Source organism: Homo sapiens, chromosome 4, assembly GCF_000001405.40.
Source record: "Homo sapiens chromosome 4, GRCh38.p14 Primary Assembly".
NCBI lineage: Eukaryota > Metazoa > Chordata > Mammalia > Primates > Hominidae > Homo > Homo sapiens.
In genome coordinates, this window is record NC_000004.12 from 156751552 (window position 1) to 156769870 (window position 18319).

Here is an 18319-nt window from a genome sequence, read left to right on the forward strand (position 1 = left end):
TTCTCCCATAAATAGAAACCGAATATGAACCTCATACTTTTCTTCAAATGTTTTTAACAGCATTGTGTGTGATGTTGACCAATTATTCAGTCATGTCACATTCCCACTTCCTGAGTGAATCACCAGCTGCAAAAATTAAGATGAAAAACTTTCCACAAAAGAAATCATTATGAAGTATTTAAGCATCTTTGGATAAAAGACAGTTTAAAAAACAAATCACTGTGATTTATGACCATGCCAGTTAAGATTGCAATAAGACTTATGTCTTGCTAACAACAATTTGTGTGCTTTTATTTCACAATGATGACAAAATATATTGTCAAAACAGATAAACTTTATGTAATACAGTAAGACTTTGATTTAACAAATCATTCACAATAAGCCATCAAAATATATAATGATAATCAAAATTCCTTGGTTGAATTATTGTCTCTTCCAGAACATATATAAAGATACTCAAAGTAAAATTGGTAAGCTTAAGCCTTTTCATGTCATACTTTGTGCTTAAGGTCAGTTTCTTACTTATCACAGTGGAAAAGTACAATAGTCCCTCGAGCTCTAGTTCTTTGATGAGCTAGGCCAGAAGAAGCAGACTCAGTCCTCTTCCTCTTCCCCGCCCCACCACTATTATACTTCAATTGCTGGGAAAATCAAGTTTTCAGATTGCTGCTTTAGGACTGAAAACAAAGCAAATCAAACTCATGTCAATGAATTATTCATGTAATTTCTACTTTCCTTGTAATAGATTTTTTCCTTCAATATATATGACATGGTTTCGTTGTTGATCTATGAACACATTTGAAATTAAGTTTATCAATCTGGAAATTTGGAAGACAACCACTAATATAGGTACTATTATTAAAAAAGTTAAAGGTTAGGATACATTAATTTTACTTGTTGTTCAAATTAAACATGAGACAGCAATAATACATCTTATTTTTCAGATTTTAAAGAAGATTACTCCTCAAAAATTGTCTATTGCTTATTATTATTAAATATATAGACATTTTAGTTATGTTAGAAACCAGGTTATTTCATACAAATTATATTTTATATACATCGCTCTGTCTGAGGATGTCGTTGGAACTGGTTGTCTATTGGTAAGTCCAGGCAGCTACTTCTTAGAATAACTATATAAAAACTGATTTTTGCCCCCTACAATCCCTTGGTTAATATGAACTTGAATAGTATTTAGTGGGCTGTCATGAATTAGACTTACATTGAAGCTGTCATTTAAGGGAGTAATACTGAGATCTTTAAACAGAGTTAAAAGTTGAACTTAGTAAAATATTTACTTATAAGTTGGATTGAAGATCATTACAAAATTTATACTAATTTGATTTTTCCTAAACAGATGAAAAACACTTGTAGACAATGTCTTAAATTTAGCTTAGGAAATTATTGTATTTCCTACCTGAGTTCTGTAGAAGAGCCTATGTCACAAATGAGATTAGGATGATATCCCAATGTTCTCCATGATGGGCAGAATATCCATAATCTTCCTAGTATGAAGTAGCGTTAACAACATTTTTAATTGAATCTATAGCAAGATTGCAATATAGACTGCATATGTTTGTATAGGGTCATATACTATTTAGTTTATAACTATAAAATGAAAATAACATATCTCAATAAAAAATAAGCATTCAAGCAAAAATAAAATTATTGGTAAATTATAACAATTTATGATCTTAAAATGTTTTCTAACATCAGGATATTAGTAGTGAAAAGGAGCTGAATCACAGAAACAAAATTCCAACAAAGAGTTAATTTACTAATAGAATTCAATGAAAGAGACACACTTCATGCTATACATTTTAGAGCATGATCATTTAGGAATGAAGGAGTAGCTTATGCTGATGGTGAGACTTAGGATAAATCTCATTCTAACCTCATAGTCCTGAGATAAAATTCTAAGCATCCTCACTAATACGGCCAAGCTTGAAGAGAAGCAGTTTGAGGAGGTAGTATTCTCTTTTCTCTGTTGCAAGTAGAGGGGAAGAAAACATGGTTTTGGGGGAGATTCAGGTGAAACATGGGTATTGAAAAGTTCAGACTGATGCCCTCAGATGAAAGCGTTGCCTCGACGTCTTCACACTGAGTGGTGAATAAGATCCAAAGCCTGTTTCAGCTGTTCCCTTAGTGCACTGCATGAGGAATGGATACAAGCCTCTACCAGAGTTAAGCCCAGCAATAGATATCTTGACAGAGCTGAGCAGAATTCCTTCATCAAAATGTTGCACTTTCCTCCAGTTGTTCTTAAGCTCCTTTTTCCAAATGAAATAGAAGATTAAGTAGACTGTACCTAATCACTCAATTATAGCTCAGTTTGGCAAATCCGTTTTAGAAAAGTGAAAATGGAATCAAGAATTCACTCTTCCCACATCAGAGTAAATAGTAACCAGTACATAAACTATGAACCATGTAAATAATCAGAAAAAAAATAAAGGCATGAGAATTATGCAAATATCTTATGTTAAGAAAAGGAAGAAGAAAGGAAGGGGGAGAGGAAGGGAGGAGGAAGAGAGAGACAGAAATAGAGAAAGAGAGACACACACAGACAGAGGTAATAAACAAGTTTGGAAAGAGAAATAACCTAAAAAACAGAGGAAATTTTCCCCAAATGCTTCACATTATACAAGTGTTTATTAAGACATAAACATAACTTAAATGTTTACTAAATGTTTTTACTTTTTTATATTAAATGTATATTGTTATTCAATGTTTATTAAATAATAAACAATATAATAAACAAAAATGAAGATAGTTGTTGAAGAGGTAGGCTAAGATGTCAGAGGGCTTAATTTTTGCAGCTTTTTAAAAATTTTATAATTAATTTTTGTGGATACATAGTAGGTTTATATATTTATGTGATACATGAGGTGTTTTTTATAGGCAAACAATGTGTAATAATCACATCACAGATAATGGGCTATTCATCCCCTAAAGCATTTATCCTTTGTGTTACAAACAATCCAGTTACTCTCTTTTAGTTATTTTAAAATGTACAATTAAGTTATTCAAAGGGCTTATTTCCTCTTCTTTCTTAATAGCAAATGAACACATACTGACTGAAATAAAAGCAGGTGCTTAGGAAATAATTCCATGCTTTTAATGTTTTCAATAATTTTTGCAGATTTAGTGATTGTTTAGAAAGTTATATCTCACTTTGATAAAACATTTTCCAAAATGCATGTTTTTCCTGCTTCATTTCAATTTTTTGTTTATAAGTTTCAAGTTTCACTAAAAAATACAATGTCACCCCATGTGACCCCATGTTAAATGAAATAATATCTATTAGTCAATCATTGCCAAATAATGCTGCATAACAACACTCTCAACATTTATTAATGACATGGTTTGGCTGTGTCACCACCCAAAAATTTCATCTTGAATTGTAATCCAAACCATAATCCCCATGTGTTGGGTGAGGGACCTCCTGGGAGGTGATTAGATCTTGGGGGCAGTTCCCCCATGCTGTTTTCATGATAGTGAGTTCTCTTGAGATCTGATGGCTTTATAAGTGTTTCTTCCCCCCTTCACTCTGCACTTTTCTCTCCTGCCACCACGTGACAAGAAAGTGTTTACTTCCCCTTCTGCCATGCTTGTAAGTTTCCTGAGGCCTCCCCAGCCATGCAGAACTGTGAGTCAATTAAACTTCTTTTCTTTATAAATTACCCAGTCTCAGGTATTTCTTTATAGCAGAGTGAGAATTAATATAAGTAGCTTCCAACAAGAAGCGTTAATTTCTCACTGAAGGATCTGTGGATTGTCTGGACTCAGTTGGATTTGCCAACACAGCATGGATTGGATTCAAATCTGCTGCATGTTTTCCCCTGGTGATAGCAGAAGTCAAAGAAATCAAACCCATCTGTGCAAGCACATTTGAAGCCTTAATACACATTACAGGCACTTTTTTCACCTTTTGTTCAAGCAAGACATATGACAAAGACTAAATTCAACAAGTGGGAAAATATACTCCCGTCGCCATTAGGCCGTGGCAAAAGTACAGATGTCAAATATTACTGTATGAGGCAGAACTGAGACCAATGATTCTATCACATCATCCATTTTTTTTTACCTATATTCTTCTATTCATAGAGAGTAGCTTGAAATGACGTACACTGAGGTGACAGAATTTGGGGGATTTTTCTTTTACTTTATTCCTCGTTTGGCGGGAGGGGGAGAAAAACTTTATTTCTTAAATACTACATTATATACAACTATAATTTTTTAAAAGAAAACAGCCTTATTGCGATACAATTCACATATTGAAAAATTCACCCTTTTGAAGTGTATAAATCTTTGGTTTTTAGTATATTCACACTTTTACAACTATTACCACTATCTAATTTCAGAATATTTTCATTACTCTGGGAAAACCTGAGCCCATTAGCAGTCTTTCCCCATTTATCCCCTTTCTGTAGCCCTTGGCAGCACTAACCTAGTTTCTGTGTCTATTGATCTGTTGATGCTGACTATTTCATATAAATGGAATCATAGAATATGAATGGCTTCTTTCACCTAGCATAATGTTTTCTGGGTTGATCCATACTGTAGGGTGTATAAGTACTTCATTCCTTTTAATTACCTAATAATATTCCATTGCTTAGATATACCATACTTTGTTCATCCATTTATCAGTTGACTGATGTTTTGGCAATTTCCATTTTTTGGCTATTGTGAAAAATGTGAAGAATATTTCTGTGCAGAATTTTCAGTTCTCTTGGGTATATGCCTAGGAATGAAATTGCTGAGTCATATTTAGTCTATGTTTAACATTTGTAACAACTGCACATTTCCCAAAGTGGCTGGAACATTTTATAATCTCACCAACAATATACCAGTTCCAATTTCTCCACATCCTCAACAACACTTTCATTTTGTTGTGGTGTCTTTGAAGCACAGATACTTTTAATTCTGATGATATCTTGCTCATCCATTTTTTTTTTTTGTAGTTTGTGCTTTTGGTGTCCTGAGAACCATGGCCTAATACAAAGACACACAAATTTTCTTCTAAATGTAAGGTTTTATCTCTTACATTTAGGTCGTTGATTCATTTTGGGTTAATTTTTACATATGGTATGAGGAAAGGTTCCAATCTTATTCCTTTCCATGTGCATATACTGTTGTCTTCACACCATTTGTCAAAAACACTATTCTTTATCCTTTGAATTTTCTTGTAATTCTTGTCAAAAATCAGTTGACTATACATTTAAGGATCTATTTCTGGATTCTCAGTTCTATTCCATTGATCTCCGTGTCTAACTTTATTAACTTTACCACACTATTTCTGTAGCTTTGTAGTAAGTTTTGAAATCGAGTAGTGTTACTTTGCACTTCTTCGAGATTTTGTTTTGGGAGTCTTGCATTTCCATATGAATATTAGGATCAGCTTTGTCAATTTCTGTAAAAAAGCCAGCTGGAATTGCATGTGGAATTTTAAAAAATCATAGTTATTAATCCGAAAATACATACTCTCTATAGAAATGGTTAAATTCTTCTTTAAATTGCATATAAATTTATATTGGATAAGATTTACTGCAACAGGTTAGCAGTTTTGGAAGAAACTGAATCTGGTATAGGTGGTGTGCAAATGCTTTCTGAGGCAGAGAATAAAGAGATATAATTAGTATTTTAGTAAAGTGAGAGGAAATTATTGAGCTAGGTAAGTGCAGGAACAGTGCCCCACAAAGAGAACACAGTATGTGTTAGCATGGAGATATATGGAGACATCAGTATTTTCAGGAAACTGAGTGTTCACTAGAGTTGTATGTTAGGTTTGATGATGCAAAAATCAATCAGCATTTTTTCAATCAGTCAGGATTATTCATAAGGAAATTCTAAGTCATCAATCATGGATATTTTCATATATTCATATTTTAAATATAGTTTTAAATTCTGACAGTATTTAATCATACTATGGAAAAAGTGTCTAAGATACAAATAATACATAAATGTGTTAATCTCTGTAACTTTAAAAAGAGTTATCTGAGATATCTGTCATGGTACCTGAGATAGGGTTGACAGGAAAGTCATTCACTGGAAAACCAAACACATTCTCAAAGCACCGTTAAACAAAAAGTAACTGTATCACCTTGCACCAAAAGGAGGAAGACTTTTGGCTTGCTCCTTTTAGGGTTAGAGTTAGTCCTTTTGGTAGATGCCCCAACAGTACTAGTAGAATGGACTGTTTACCACTAAAAAACACCCAGTTCCAATCTACTAACTTCATTTTATAGATTAGGTAGCTGAAGTTTAGAGATATCTAGGAACTCTAGAGTTGTTTCATATTCAGTGAAAAACACATTGGTTCATTTGTATATTTACTTACTCATCAATGTAAATTGTTTCTGACCCCCTAATTTGATTAAATTCCTAACTAGGCATTGAGGGAAAGAAGAATGAGATAATTCTTGCTAGCAGTGCAATTAGACTGGGGGTCTAATGAGAAATCAAAATGGGAGCAAGTCATTATAATATGATATGACAATATTTGTAATTGAATATCCTTGGAAGCATAATGGAAATGGTGCCAGTGGGACTGAAGGTAGGAAAGAAAGCTTCACTGAGAAGTCCAGTTGAGCTGAGACTTAAGCAGAAGTGACAGAGATAGGTAAGTGTAGGAACAGCACTCCAACAGTGCTCCAAAGAAAACACAGCATGGGCCAGCACAGAAATTTGAGGGATATTGGTATTTTCAGGAAATCACAAGTATTCATAATATTGAATTGTATTATGTTTAATGGTACAAAATGAGCATAAAATAGCTGTATTATGTTTAATGGTACAAAATGAGCAGAAAATAGTAAACAATGGCATTTTGAAGGATTCTGTCCACGATACAAAGATTAAAGTTTAATCATGTGGAGTTGCATCATAAAATTTCCACCCAAGTGACAATCAGATTTGTCTGAAAGACCCCTCTGTTAGTGGAGTAAAGGATGGATCAGAGGAGAGGGAGAACAGAGACAGGGAGAGGGGGAGTCAAAAAATGGAGCTGTTGCAGGATAAAGGCGGTGAGGCGTGATGAGGGTTTGTATTAGGGCAGGAGCTACAGAAATGGAGAGGGAGAGACAAATACAAGACAGATCAAAAAATCAAAGTCAATGAGACTTCCTGATAGATTACATATGGGGCATGTAGGGAAAACAGTATGTAAAGCAAGTGATCTATTGCAATGGATTAAATGTTTGTGTCCCCGCAAAGTCATATTTGACTAACCCCCAATGGGATGGTATTAAAAGGTGGAATCTTTGGGAGGTAATCAGGTCATGAGGGTGGAGGATTGTGAATGAATAGGATTGTGCCCATACAAAAGGGTCCACAGAGAGTTATCTCACCATCTTTTCCATAAAGTGAGGACATCACAGAGATGACAGTCTGCAATTCAGAAGACAGCCTTCACCAGAACCAGACCATACTGGTACCCTGATGGTGGACTTCCAACATCCAACGGTGAGAAGTAAGTTTCTGTTGTTTAAAAGCTCGCCAGCCTGTAGTATTTTGTTACAGCATCTGAACTAAGAGTTCTGCTGTATTTTCAATTTTCCTTCTCCTTCTTGTGAATGTAAAGGATGTCATAATTTTTAACTGTGTTTATAATGCATAATTGGAACAGTCCGACATATCAGAAGGGAGGCTATCACATTATGCTTTTAGAGATAAGGATATTACCTTAAGTGTAAAACTTGCATTTTCTGCCTTTTCTTAAACCAAATCACAAGCAGAAGTCAATGCACCTGGAGACAGGGATGCACCGAGGGTAACCAAACCATAGTCAATGCACCTGGAGACAGGGATACACCGAGGGTAACCAAACCATAGTCAATGCACCTGGAGACAGGGATGCACCGAGGGTAACCAAACCACGTTCAATGCGCCTGGAGACAGGGATGCACCGAGGGTAACCAAACCACGGTCAATGCACCTGGAGACAGGGATACACCGAGGGTAACCAAACCATAGTCAATGCACCTGGAGACAGGGATGCACCGAGGGTAACCAAACCATGGTCAATGCACCTGGAGACAGGGATGCACCGAGGGACCAAACCACGGTCAATGCACCTGGAGACAGGGATGCACCGAGGGTAACCAAACCACGTTCAATGCGCCTGGAGACAGGGATGCACCGAGGGTAACCAAACCACGGTCAATGCACCTGGAGACAGGGATACACCGAGGGTAACCAAACCATAGTCAATGCACCTGGAGACAGGGATGCACCGAGGGTAACCAAACCATGGTCAATGCACCTGGAGACAGGGATGCACCGAGGGACCAAACCACGGTCAATGCACCTAGAGACAGGGATACACCGAGGGTAACCAAACCATAGTCAATGCACCTGGAGACAGGGATACACCGAGGGTAACCAAACCATAGTCAATGCACCTGGAGACAGGGATGCACCGAGGGTAACCAAACCACGTTCAATGCGCCTGGAGACAGGGATGCACCGAGGGTAACCAAACCACGGTCAATGCACCTGGAGACAGGGATACACCGAGGGTAACCAAACCATAGTCAATGCACCTGGAGACAGGGATGCACCGAGGGTAACCAAACGATGGTCAATGCACCTGGAGACAGGGATGCACCGAGGGACCAAACCACGGTCAATGCACCTGGAGACAGGGATGCACCGAGGGTAACCAAACCACGGTCAATGCACCTGGAGACAGGGATGCACCGAGGGTAACCAAACCATGGTCAATGCACCTGGAGACAGGGATGCACCGAGGGTAACCAAGTCATAGCCAGGATGTTTCTCACAGTGTAGCTTCTCATTACTTTGGTCTTTGCACCTTTACCAAGTGCACATGAGAATTATTAGATGAGGGAGGGAATGTAGAAATGGGATGCAGAAATGAAAAATGTAGACATGAACACCTGCCTCATGACATTTAAGGCTTGCTTTTATTTTAGTAAACATCACTGGGCAAAACAGCCCATGTCTCAAGGACAAAGGCTTGAAACAGATATCATACACAAAACGGTGTGTGGTCAATACAGTCAATACTTACTGTACTTCTCAGAAATTAGGGTCATGTGCTATTTATGTGTGTGTGTGTGTGTGTGTGTGTTTAGTAAAATACACAGGACGATCTATGAGTAAGTGATTATAAAGTGGTTAGTCCTCACATGGTAACCACTCACCGACTGGCAACTGAGGACTGCTACCCTTATGATCTCTTCTGGCTGTCAAGATTTTATAAGTAAACAAAAAATAAATATTAAAAAAGGGAAAATATATTTCGTTCAAAGATGGGAAACAATGGATTAAACACAGTTAAACAGGCTATTTACTAAGACTTAGTAGTCTTTACTATACTAATGAAAGTTGTAAACTGCCAACTACTTACTACGTTGCATATTCCATATATCTAGTTGGCCTCTATATGGATAGGACAAAACCAGGAAAAGGTAAGGAAGTAAGACAGAACACATAGGCTCATTTTGTTTCTTTGTTTTCCACATAGTTGGAGGCAGGGCAGAACTGCAGGTGTCAAAGCACAGGAAAAGGGTGCTTGCCTGAAGAGCAGTCTGAAGACAGAAGGCCCTGGACACTAGACATCTCTGCCAAGTTGAAAGGCTGAGGAAAGGATGCTGAAGATACCAGCCCTGAATAGGAATCTATGTCTGGAACTGAGGAACCATATCTTGAAGTGTGCAATGTACAATAATCCATGCACCAAATCAATTTATGCTCACCCCATTTAGTAGTTGCCAGTGACAATGAAGACATGAGTGGAAACCTGCAAGTTTTTTTCCAGTTTCATACTACCATACCACCTATCACCAAGCATTTCATAAACCATACAACTTTCAAGTCAGGTGAAACTTAAATTACCAGAAATCTGTATTAAGACCAGTAAGAAAAATAAAACCATTGCTCAAAGGCATTGGAAACAAGAGGCAGAGAAGGCTCACAGGTATCTTCCCTTTTTTTGTCTTTTGAATTGACATATGCTTTTGCTAAATGAAAATCATAACAGAAAATTTTATCTTTCATTTTCTCAGAGTCCAAGAAATAAATCTTGAGCACACACACACATAATTTTCTCCCCAAAATAGCCACATTCTTTTATTTGATGATTCAATACATTTTTGATTCAAATAGTCACCACATAACCTAGGCACGATATTAAGCATTTTACAAGCAAAATATTTTACTGATTTTCTTTTAAATTGCCAGAGTACAATAAGTGAACTGGTTAAGAGACATACTTCTGTACATAAAAATATCCATGTATTTATACAAGTGTATGGAACAGAGTTTAAGATAATAAAACCACAACATCACAATAAATAGGATGTGTTCCTACTGCACAGCACAGCACGCTTTATCAGGAAGCTGCCAAGTCTTTTTCAAGGTGCTTTATGTTTTTCTGAGCTAGGCTCAGATTTCCCCAAAAAAGGAATAGGTTAGTAATGGCTGGATCTGAATGTCTACTTTCATAAGTTGCTTTTTATTTTCATCTCCAATAACAGGAATGGAAGATATGATAATTTAATTATTTTCAAAAAGTCTTTGCAACTTACCAATTCTATTCCAATTCAGTTTTTTAAAATGCAGATTAATCTAACTCTAGCACCATACGAGAATGAAATACATGTATTTTTGTCAGAGCAACAATATTTTATATCATCTTTGTTCCTCTGGCTATAACAATTGTGTTTAGAAAAATTTACCAAGCTAAAAATAGTTGATCTAAGTTGTCATAAAAAAGAATATTAAATACCTTTGGTAAAAATAGATATATTTAACAAGATTAGAAAAGCCAACAGTTATAATGTCAAAAGGAGAATATAAAAATGTACACAATGAAACAAATAAACTGACTTATCGATAAAGTGAAGATAAGGCCACTCTTCTTTTCAGGTTTATCTCTTCCAAACCATGAATGTAGTTCTCTTCTTCTAAATGGCAGAAATTTTAATAAGAAATATGAAAAATCCAGTCTGTCCTATCAGCACGACACAAGTTTAATTCATAGCAACATAGTTCCTTTTTAAAAACCAGGTTTGTAGTACATAGAATGTTCTGGTTTACATATGTGAATATGAGCAAAAAAAAAAAAAAAAATCCAGATTTTATACGATTTTAGGCCCAGGACATGGAGCTTTAGAGTTAAGCAAGGCAACGGAATCAGGTGCTCACTTGCACAGTTTTTTTCCTGTACTGACATTACCCTAAGCCGTATCGAAAGAACTGAAATACAGAACCCAGCTAGTGGAATACGTACATGGTAACTCTGAAACTAGCTGGTGATCTATTTAATACAACATTTAATTTTCTTTCCACGATTGAAGACCTTTTCTCCTGTCCTTTAGGCCTCCTCTCAAAAGAGCTGTTGCACAACTCCTAATTCTGTTTGATGTCTCCTCTTTCAGAATGCACTGTAAATCCTGAAGATGAAAGGTCCTTGAAGCAAACAACTGAGATTAAGGATGGAGATAACGCATACGTTCTCTAATAGAATCAGCCACTGCACTGCACAGCTCTGGGCAAGAGCTGCTGGTGGTGATGCGGCTATCCTCCTGTGCTCCCTCTGCACACACAGTCACACTCCTCATGGTGCTCCAGGGCCACGTCGGTGAGTGATTTGTGCAATCCCCTGACACCGGTCTTTGGTCTCAACTGAAGGACCTGAAAGGGAATAAGAGTAAGCCACTTTTAAAAATCAACGAATGTCTATGACTGGCTTTTATAAACAAGTAACGTTTTAGAAAAGAATCTTGGGGCCCAAGAAAGACACATATTTTAATTTTTCCTAGAGCACGCATTATGAAAACACTCTCCCACCAAAAAAAAAAAAAAAAAAAAATCATCATTTCATGAAAGCACAGACATTTTAATGCCAACAATTTGGAAGCATTCTGTCTCTGAATAAGGAACAGTACTTAAATGGAAAGACTCACCACGCAATTGTTATTTTATTTATCTGACTATTTTAGAATTTCACCTTAAGTATTTTGGAACTACCAATATAAAATTCGTTTTTCTGTTTGTCGCTTTCTTTCATTCATTCATTTATTCACACATTTAACAAATATTTATACTTGATGCAATACACTCAAGTGCAGAAATACTGTGGAAAGAAACATGATCACTCCACAGCTGAGTCTGCTCAATTATGCCACTCATTAATTTTCTTGGCTACACTTCAAGTCCTCTATAAACTTGATGAGATGGATTAGATGTACTTCATAGACATCAGCCCCAGTCACAGCTAACTTCCTGCAGCTGGATCCTACTGTGCAGTGAGAAGAGGTTTGGCAATAATAACAATGATGCCTCTATTAAATAAAGTTATCTGCAGTTCAGATTGTCAAGGTTTTAATAAAAATACAGCAAGATTGACACTTATGCTACACATATTTCCTCTTAATACTATGACAAAAAGATGCAGTTGTGTATTCTATAAAATATTAATTAAAGTATTTGGTGTTGCTACCTATTTAAGTGTATTACATTTTATTTCTTATGATAGAAACAATAAAGTTTAGGAAATTGTATTTTGTTTGGATTATGAACAAAGGCCAGAGCACAAAATAATATGAAATTTTCTAGCATCTCTACTTTTTGGATACGACATAGATAACCTCATAAAGCCATTTCTAAAAGCTACCAGTCCTAAAAATGTTCATTAATCCAAAAAGGCACAAGTCAAGTCTTATGACTGTTCTATTTAAAGACTTAAAAGAAAAACAGAGAATGCATACCTCACTGGAGTATGTGGTAATATCAGAGGTTAATTAGCTAACATTTTTTGAATGCTTACTGGGTGCCAGGCACAATAATAACGTTTTTACATACTTTAACTCACAAGAATTCTATGAAGTAATTTACAATTATTACCCCTATTTTACACATGAGTGAACAGAGGCTTAGACAGAGTAAGTGACACAGCCTTTATTTGTACCTAGCCCAGAGATGAATTATTAGAGAGATAGATAATAATTTTATAGACTCAGAATATCACTGCTCATACATTCTATTTATTTAGTAACTTTCTTCCTGAAGAGATAAACTTCAAAGTCTTGTAATAACTATTAGAAATTCTAAACTTTTAAAGTAGTTTTCTCATCTATTTCACAATTCTAAAATAAAAATTACTTTGACTTTATTTCTTTAATGTGAAATTTAACTCAATGGCTACTGAATACTATTTTATGTTAGTACTGATTTATTATTTTTGAAAAATTTAGTGTGTCAGACTAACTACATTTCAGATATTGGCACTATTCCTTATCACAGTCTTGCTGCAAATTGTTTCTGGAATGAGATTGGGTGGGTGGGTAAGATAAATTGCAATATTGGCATAGACAACGTCTTCAATTCCTATGTCCACCTGTATGCATTTTCCCATTCAGCAAGGAAAAAAAAATTACTATGTAAGGTAAAGATTAGAGAGGCCACCATACACGGTCCTAACAGTCAGGCCAGGCTGCAATCCTTGCTTCCTCTAGCATGCATATGCCAAGATGCATTTGCTGAATCAAAGTCTCCTGTCTTTGTCTGCTGATGCTCATGGAGATTTACAAATAGCAGAAGAATCTCTTATGTTCTAGAAACTTAAGTCCTGGATAAGAAATTCTAATGGTGGAGGACACAATTAGTGTTCTTGTTTTTAATTCATTTTGAAAGTTTTGACTTTGGTGGAGAAAAATAGACTTGGAAAATGATCAGCAGGTCCCAGACAATATTAAAGAGGAAAAGGACATAGATTATGCCACCAGAAAAGAAACAGGGCTAATGTTCATCTCAGAAAATTTAGACGGAGAGGTTGAAATTAAAATGATAAGTCCATGAAAAGGAATGTCCAGGGAGAAGCTGAGCCAGAGATTGTGGAAGATAGTAGATAAGACACAGAGAGAACCGGCAAGGAACAAATGCTCATGGACCATTGCTCAACACGTTCAAACAAAATGACCTTGAACTTTTGAGAACCACAGAGCACTGGGAACAGGGATTCAGCACTAGAATCAGGCAACTGAATGCTACAGATTTTTAGGTTTGTCTGTGCAAAACAAACAGACATAATGTAAGAATGTAAGACTATTATTTCATAAAAAATTAAATATGTAAAAATATAAACAAGATGAAAATTATTAAGCCAAGTAAGAACAGAGAAAAAGGAACGAATATTTTACTATTGTCAGAGTATCCTGTAGATCTTTTGGCCAGAATACCTTTCCTGCTTCAGGGCAAAATTCATTAAATCTTTATTGATCATTTACCATAACCAAAGAATAAGACTAGGCACAGTGAAAAAGCAAAGATGAGTGAGAGAGCAGCTAATATATATTAATGGCATGAAAATTGCCAGGCTTAATTCTAAGTGTTTTGTAAATATCAACCCACTAAATCCCCACAATAAAGTATGAGGGTTGGAGACTCACCTTATAGATGAGGAATTTAGGCACGAGGGCTAAGCAATTTGCTCAAAGTCACATGCAAACAAATGTTAGGTTCAAAACTGGGATGTCTAGCTTTGGAGTTTGTGTTCTCAAGCATTACACTGCAATGTGACTTTTGTTTTCCTTAGCTCTCAATTCAATAGAAACAAAGAAAAATAGACAATAATTTTGAAATAGTAAAAGTTCTCTAATAGAGTACCTTTGAAGCCCTACAGATGCACTGAGGATGAATTAGTCATGCTAGGACTGGTAGGACACCAGCATTTCAATGAAGATACAACATCTAAGTTTATACATATATAAGGTTCCTGACTTGCTTTTCTGAAAATTCTTATGTGGAACTTAGAAAAATCATTAAGAAAATATATTTATTTGGCTAAAATGTCTTCCCACAAAGAGATCCAGTGATTGACACAAAAAGTAAGAATCTTATTAATAACATTATCATGCTTCAGTATCTTTTAGTTTTCTTCAATTATTATATCCCATCTCCTCCTCCAGCAGCATCAGGTGCCATACATGTATCAGGAAACCATCCTTCTTGAAAAGTCAACTTTAAATTTTACAAAACCTTTAAATTACACCAATGAAAATCTGCCCTTCTGGCTTCATTTAAAAATTACTCCATGACCTTTACTTTTTTCCACTAAATAAAATAACATGAAATAAATACCTACTTAATAAATAAAATGACTTTTCATATGCATAAAGTGTTCAGTGAAACCCTCATCTGTTAGGTAACCTAAACATGCATGGTTTCCTAAACTACACTTCCTATGACATGATTTTCCTGCCCTTCACCAATATTGTGTTGGCAATTGATAAAGTGGGAAAAAAAGCACTGGATTCGCGAAGACAAGGGACCCTGTTTCCATTCTAGAGCTCGGCTTTCACTTCATTAAGGATTTCACTGAAATCTTGATGCATATGAAAAATCATTTTATTTATTAGTTAGATATTTGTTCTGTATTCTTATTTAATGGAAAAATGAAAGGAAAGGCAGTCATATTGAAATGATGTCAGAAGGGCAGATTTTGACTTGGTCTAATGTTAATGTTTTGTAGAAATTCAAGTTGACTCATCAAGAAGGATGGCTTCCTGATAGAATGATGCTGTATGATGCTGCTGGGGGAGGTGTTGGGATTTAATTGGGAGACTCCATCACTAAGAAAAACATTAAGTGTACAAGTTCTAAGGTTTCCAGGGTTCTAAAAAACAATAATTACTAACATGTCATATTATATTTTCTTTTATTCCAAAGAATAAAGAGATGAAAGGTTAAAACATCCACACAAAGTTTAACATGTTATTTGAAGCAACATGAATAATACAAAGTTTATTATAATTATGAATATGTCATCTTAGGAGTCTCTGTTGTCCCAAGTAGAAAAATAAATATCAAAGCTCTCCTTTCTCCAAAGTAGACAATAATTTATCTCTGAGCTTGTCTTTGAAATATTTTTCCTTCATATTTTGAAAAGTTTAAAAGTTGAAAAACTTTACTCATTTTTTTTTCCCTCAGAAAACACTTTATTTTTGGTATGAGAGGCAAAAACTTCACTGACCACTCATGTTATACTACCAGAGAATATACTTTCTAAATCCCTAATATCTGGAATTTTAATTAAAGGTGCTAATTTTAAAAAACAAAAACATAAACTATTTGTAGACCTCTTTTTTTTCCCCATGAATACTACGTCTTTTTTCCAAACATAAACGCATTTCAGATTCACTGTTTTGTTCTAAGACATAAAATACCCGAAGGAAACCAAAAAGAAAATTGTATACCTACCTCGTGGTATTTTTTAGTAACTTTGCTTGGGACACATTGACATTCATTGCAATTGTGGAGACAACAGGCACAGTTCCCACCACAGCGTTTAACCAGGAGACAACCTGGCCAGAAAATGGTATCGGTTCTCTTTAGTTCTTCCCTTATGGACACTGAGAAGTTACGAGGTGTGCAGCTGTATAATCTTACCTCCTCTGTTAGAAGGTTCAGATCCACCACTATATGGTATAAAAGAAAGCAAAGAAAAATAGATGTTGATGCTTTGAGCCTGAATGTATTTCATTAAGCTCTTTTCATAAAGAAATCTTACGTTATTTCATGAACAATATCCATAACAATATCCGCTCTTATTGTAAGTAGATTTTAGAGATATACAACTACAAATTGGACCTTCTAGTTCATAGCAAACAAAGCTTCATTATGACTTAGCGACCAGTAAAGAGATGCCATTGTGTAATATTAAGAACAGAGCCAACAAAACAGTTGAAAGCTATAAATAGGAAACTTTATACAGACAAAAAAGGCCACACGTTTTAACCTTAGTAAAAAAAAAAAAAATAGACATGGAGAACACAGGAGAGAAGAATAAAATGCAAGATGATGAATGCTTTGATTAAAAAACAAGTATAATTCTTAAAAGGATTTTAGGCTCATACAATTAGTGAAGAACAATTTATTGAAATGTGTCAACAGCTCTTTCTATAATCTCTATGGCAATAACCATCATAAAATATAAAAAAAGCATGAAGAGAACGCACATTTGAAGACAGCTGTGTAGACCATGAGTGAAAAAAAATGACATACTTTATAAGAGCAGAAGTTGTTGGAAGGCAATGCTTCAAATGCATTGAATGATTTCCCATCTTGGAAATTCAGACTAACTAAACTAAACTCCTTCAGATACCTATCCTTCCCCTGCTAATGGGTGGAAGAAATGTTTAATTTATCTAATTTATAACCCCAGCCTCTACTCCTTTAGCAAGTTGGTTAACTATGCTGTTTGTGCTTTATTCTATGAAGAATACCTACTTTTGAGGACCTAACAAAATATTCTTTATTGCAGTAAATCCTCAAAGAACCATTGTTTTTAACTACAAAATGATTCTGCCTCAGGAAAATTATATCGAAATAACATGCCATGTTCAATGTGAATTTATACATATCACATGAATAGTAGGTAATTACTATTAGGATAAAGACTTCTAATATAATTTATTTTCTGCCTTACATCTCTGCCTATTTTTTTCCCCTAGAAATATTCAAATAAAGCAATTCCAATGAGATTGAATACTTTCAGATAACATATATGCCTTCAGGGTTTTTTTCTCCTAATAAAGTTTTTTAAAAATTTAGAAATATTATCTAAAATATAATAAACCTACTTAAATACCTTTCCACTAATATGGATAACACAGACATGAATGAAAAAAAAGAAAGCTATTTTCTGGTTAAAGATGGCTTCAAGTAGAAATAATCACGATGTAATCCAATTTTTTAAATTAAAAGCTAAGTTTTATTAATTTTTAAGTGACAAGGTAAGAATCAAATGCTTATTTTCTTGGATTTGTTATACATGTGATCAGGTGTTTTTAATACTTATATTGTCTTAATTGTCTTTGATAATTTAAGTATTTTAAGAAACGTATTATAAAATTATGCATAGGTAATTGTAAATTAGAAATGTATGTAAACTATATGATAGACTAAAACCTGAGTCAAGTATAGGAAAGCACCAAAGAAATCCCAATTCAATGAGTCCATTTCAACACCTTATTCAGCTAAAAAATTATTTTTCTAACTCAAGGGAAAGTCATTGTTTCATTTGGCTACTGAAAGATTTCTTTTTAATCTGAAAATGATCCTGTGAAGGCAAAGCTTTTAAATATTTAAAGCAAATCCTTCTTTCAAATGCTCTGAATAGGCCAACTTATCCCTAATAAAAGTAATGAGCTCATTATGCTAAATGGTATCACATATTTTACCTGGTTTCATTTTGCTGATCTAATAGTATATGCATACATTCCTCTTTAATTGTTAAAACTATATATGAGCTTATTTGAAGCTTTTCTCTAGTATTTAATGCCTGGGCAAGGAGGAA

General features: G+C 35.0%; 1 protein-coding gene across 7 annotated transcripts in view; it reads right to left on the reverse strand.

Moving 5' to 3' along the window:
- Positions 1–8902: 8902 nt before the first annotated feature.
- Positions 8903–18319, reverse strand: part of PDGFC (platelet derived growth factor C) — a 211346-nt gene continuing 201929 nt past the window's right edge. For all 7 annotated transcript variants that reach the window (NR_036641.2, NM_016205.3, XM_017008455.2 and 4 more), the window contains 2 exons: positions 16222–16439; positions 8903–11655 (listed from right to left, as the gene is read on the reverse strand). Coding sequence is in view for 6 of the 7 variants with exons in the window: in NM_016205.3 (NP_057289.1) it covers positions 11539–11655; positions 16222–16439 (335 nt within the window). In the remaining variant the exon portion in view is untranslated. The remainder of the gene's footprint in view (positions 11656–16221; positions 16440–18319) is intronic.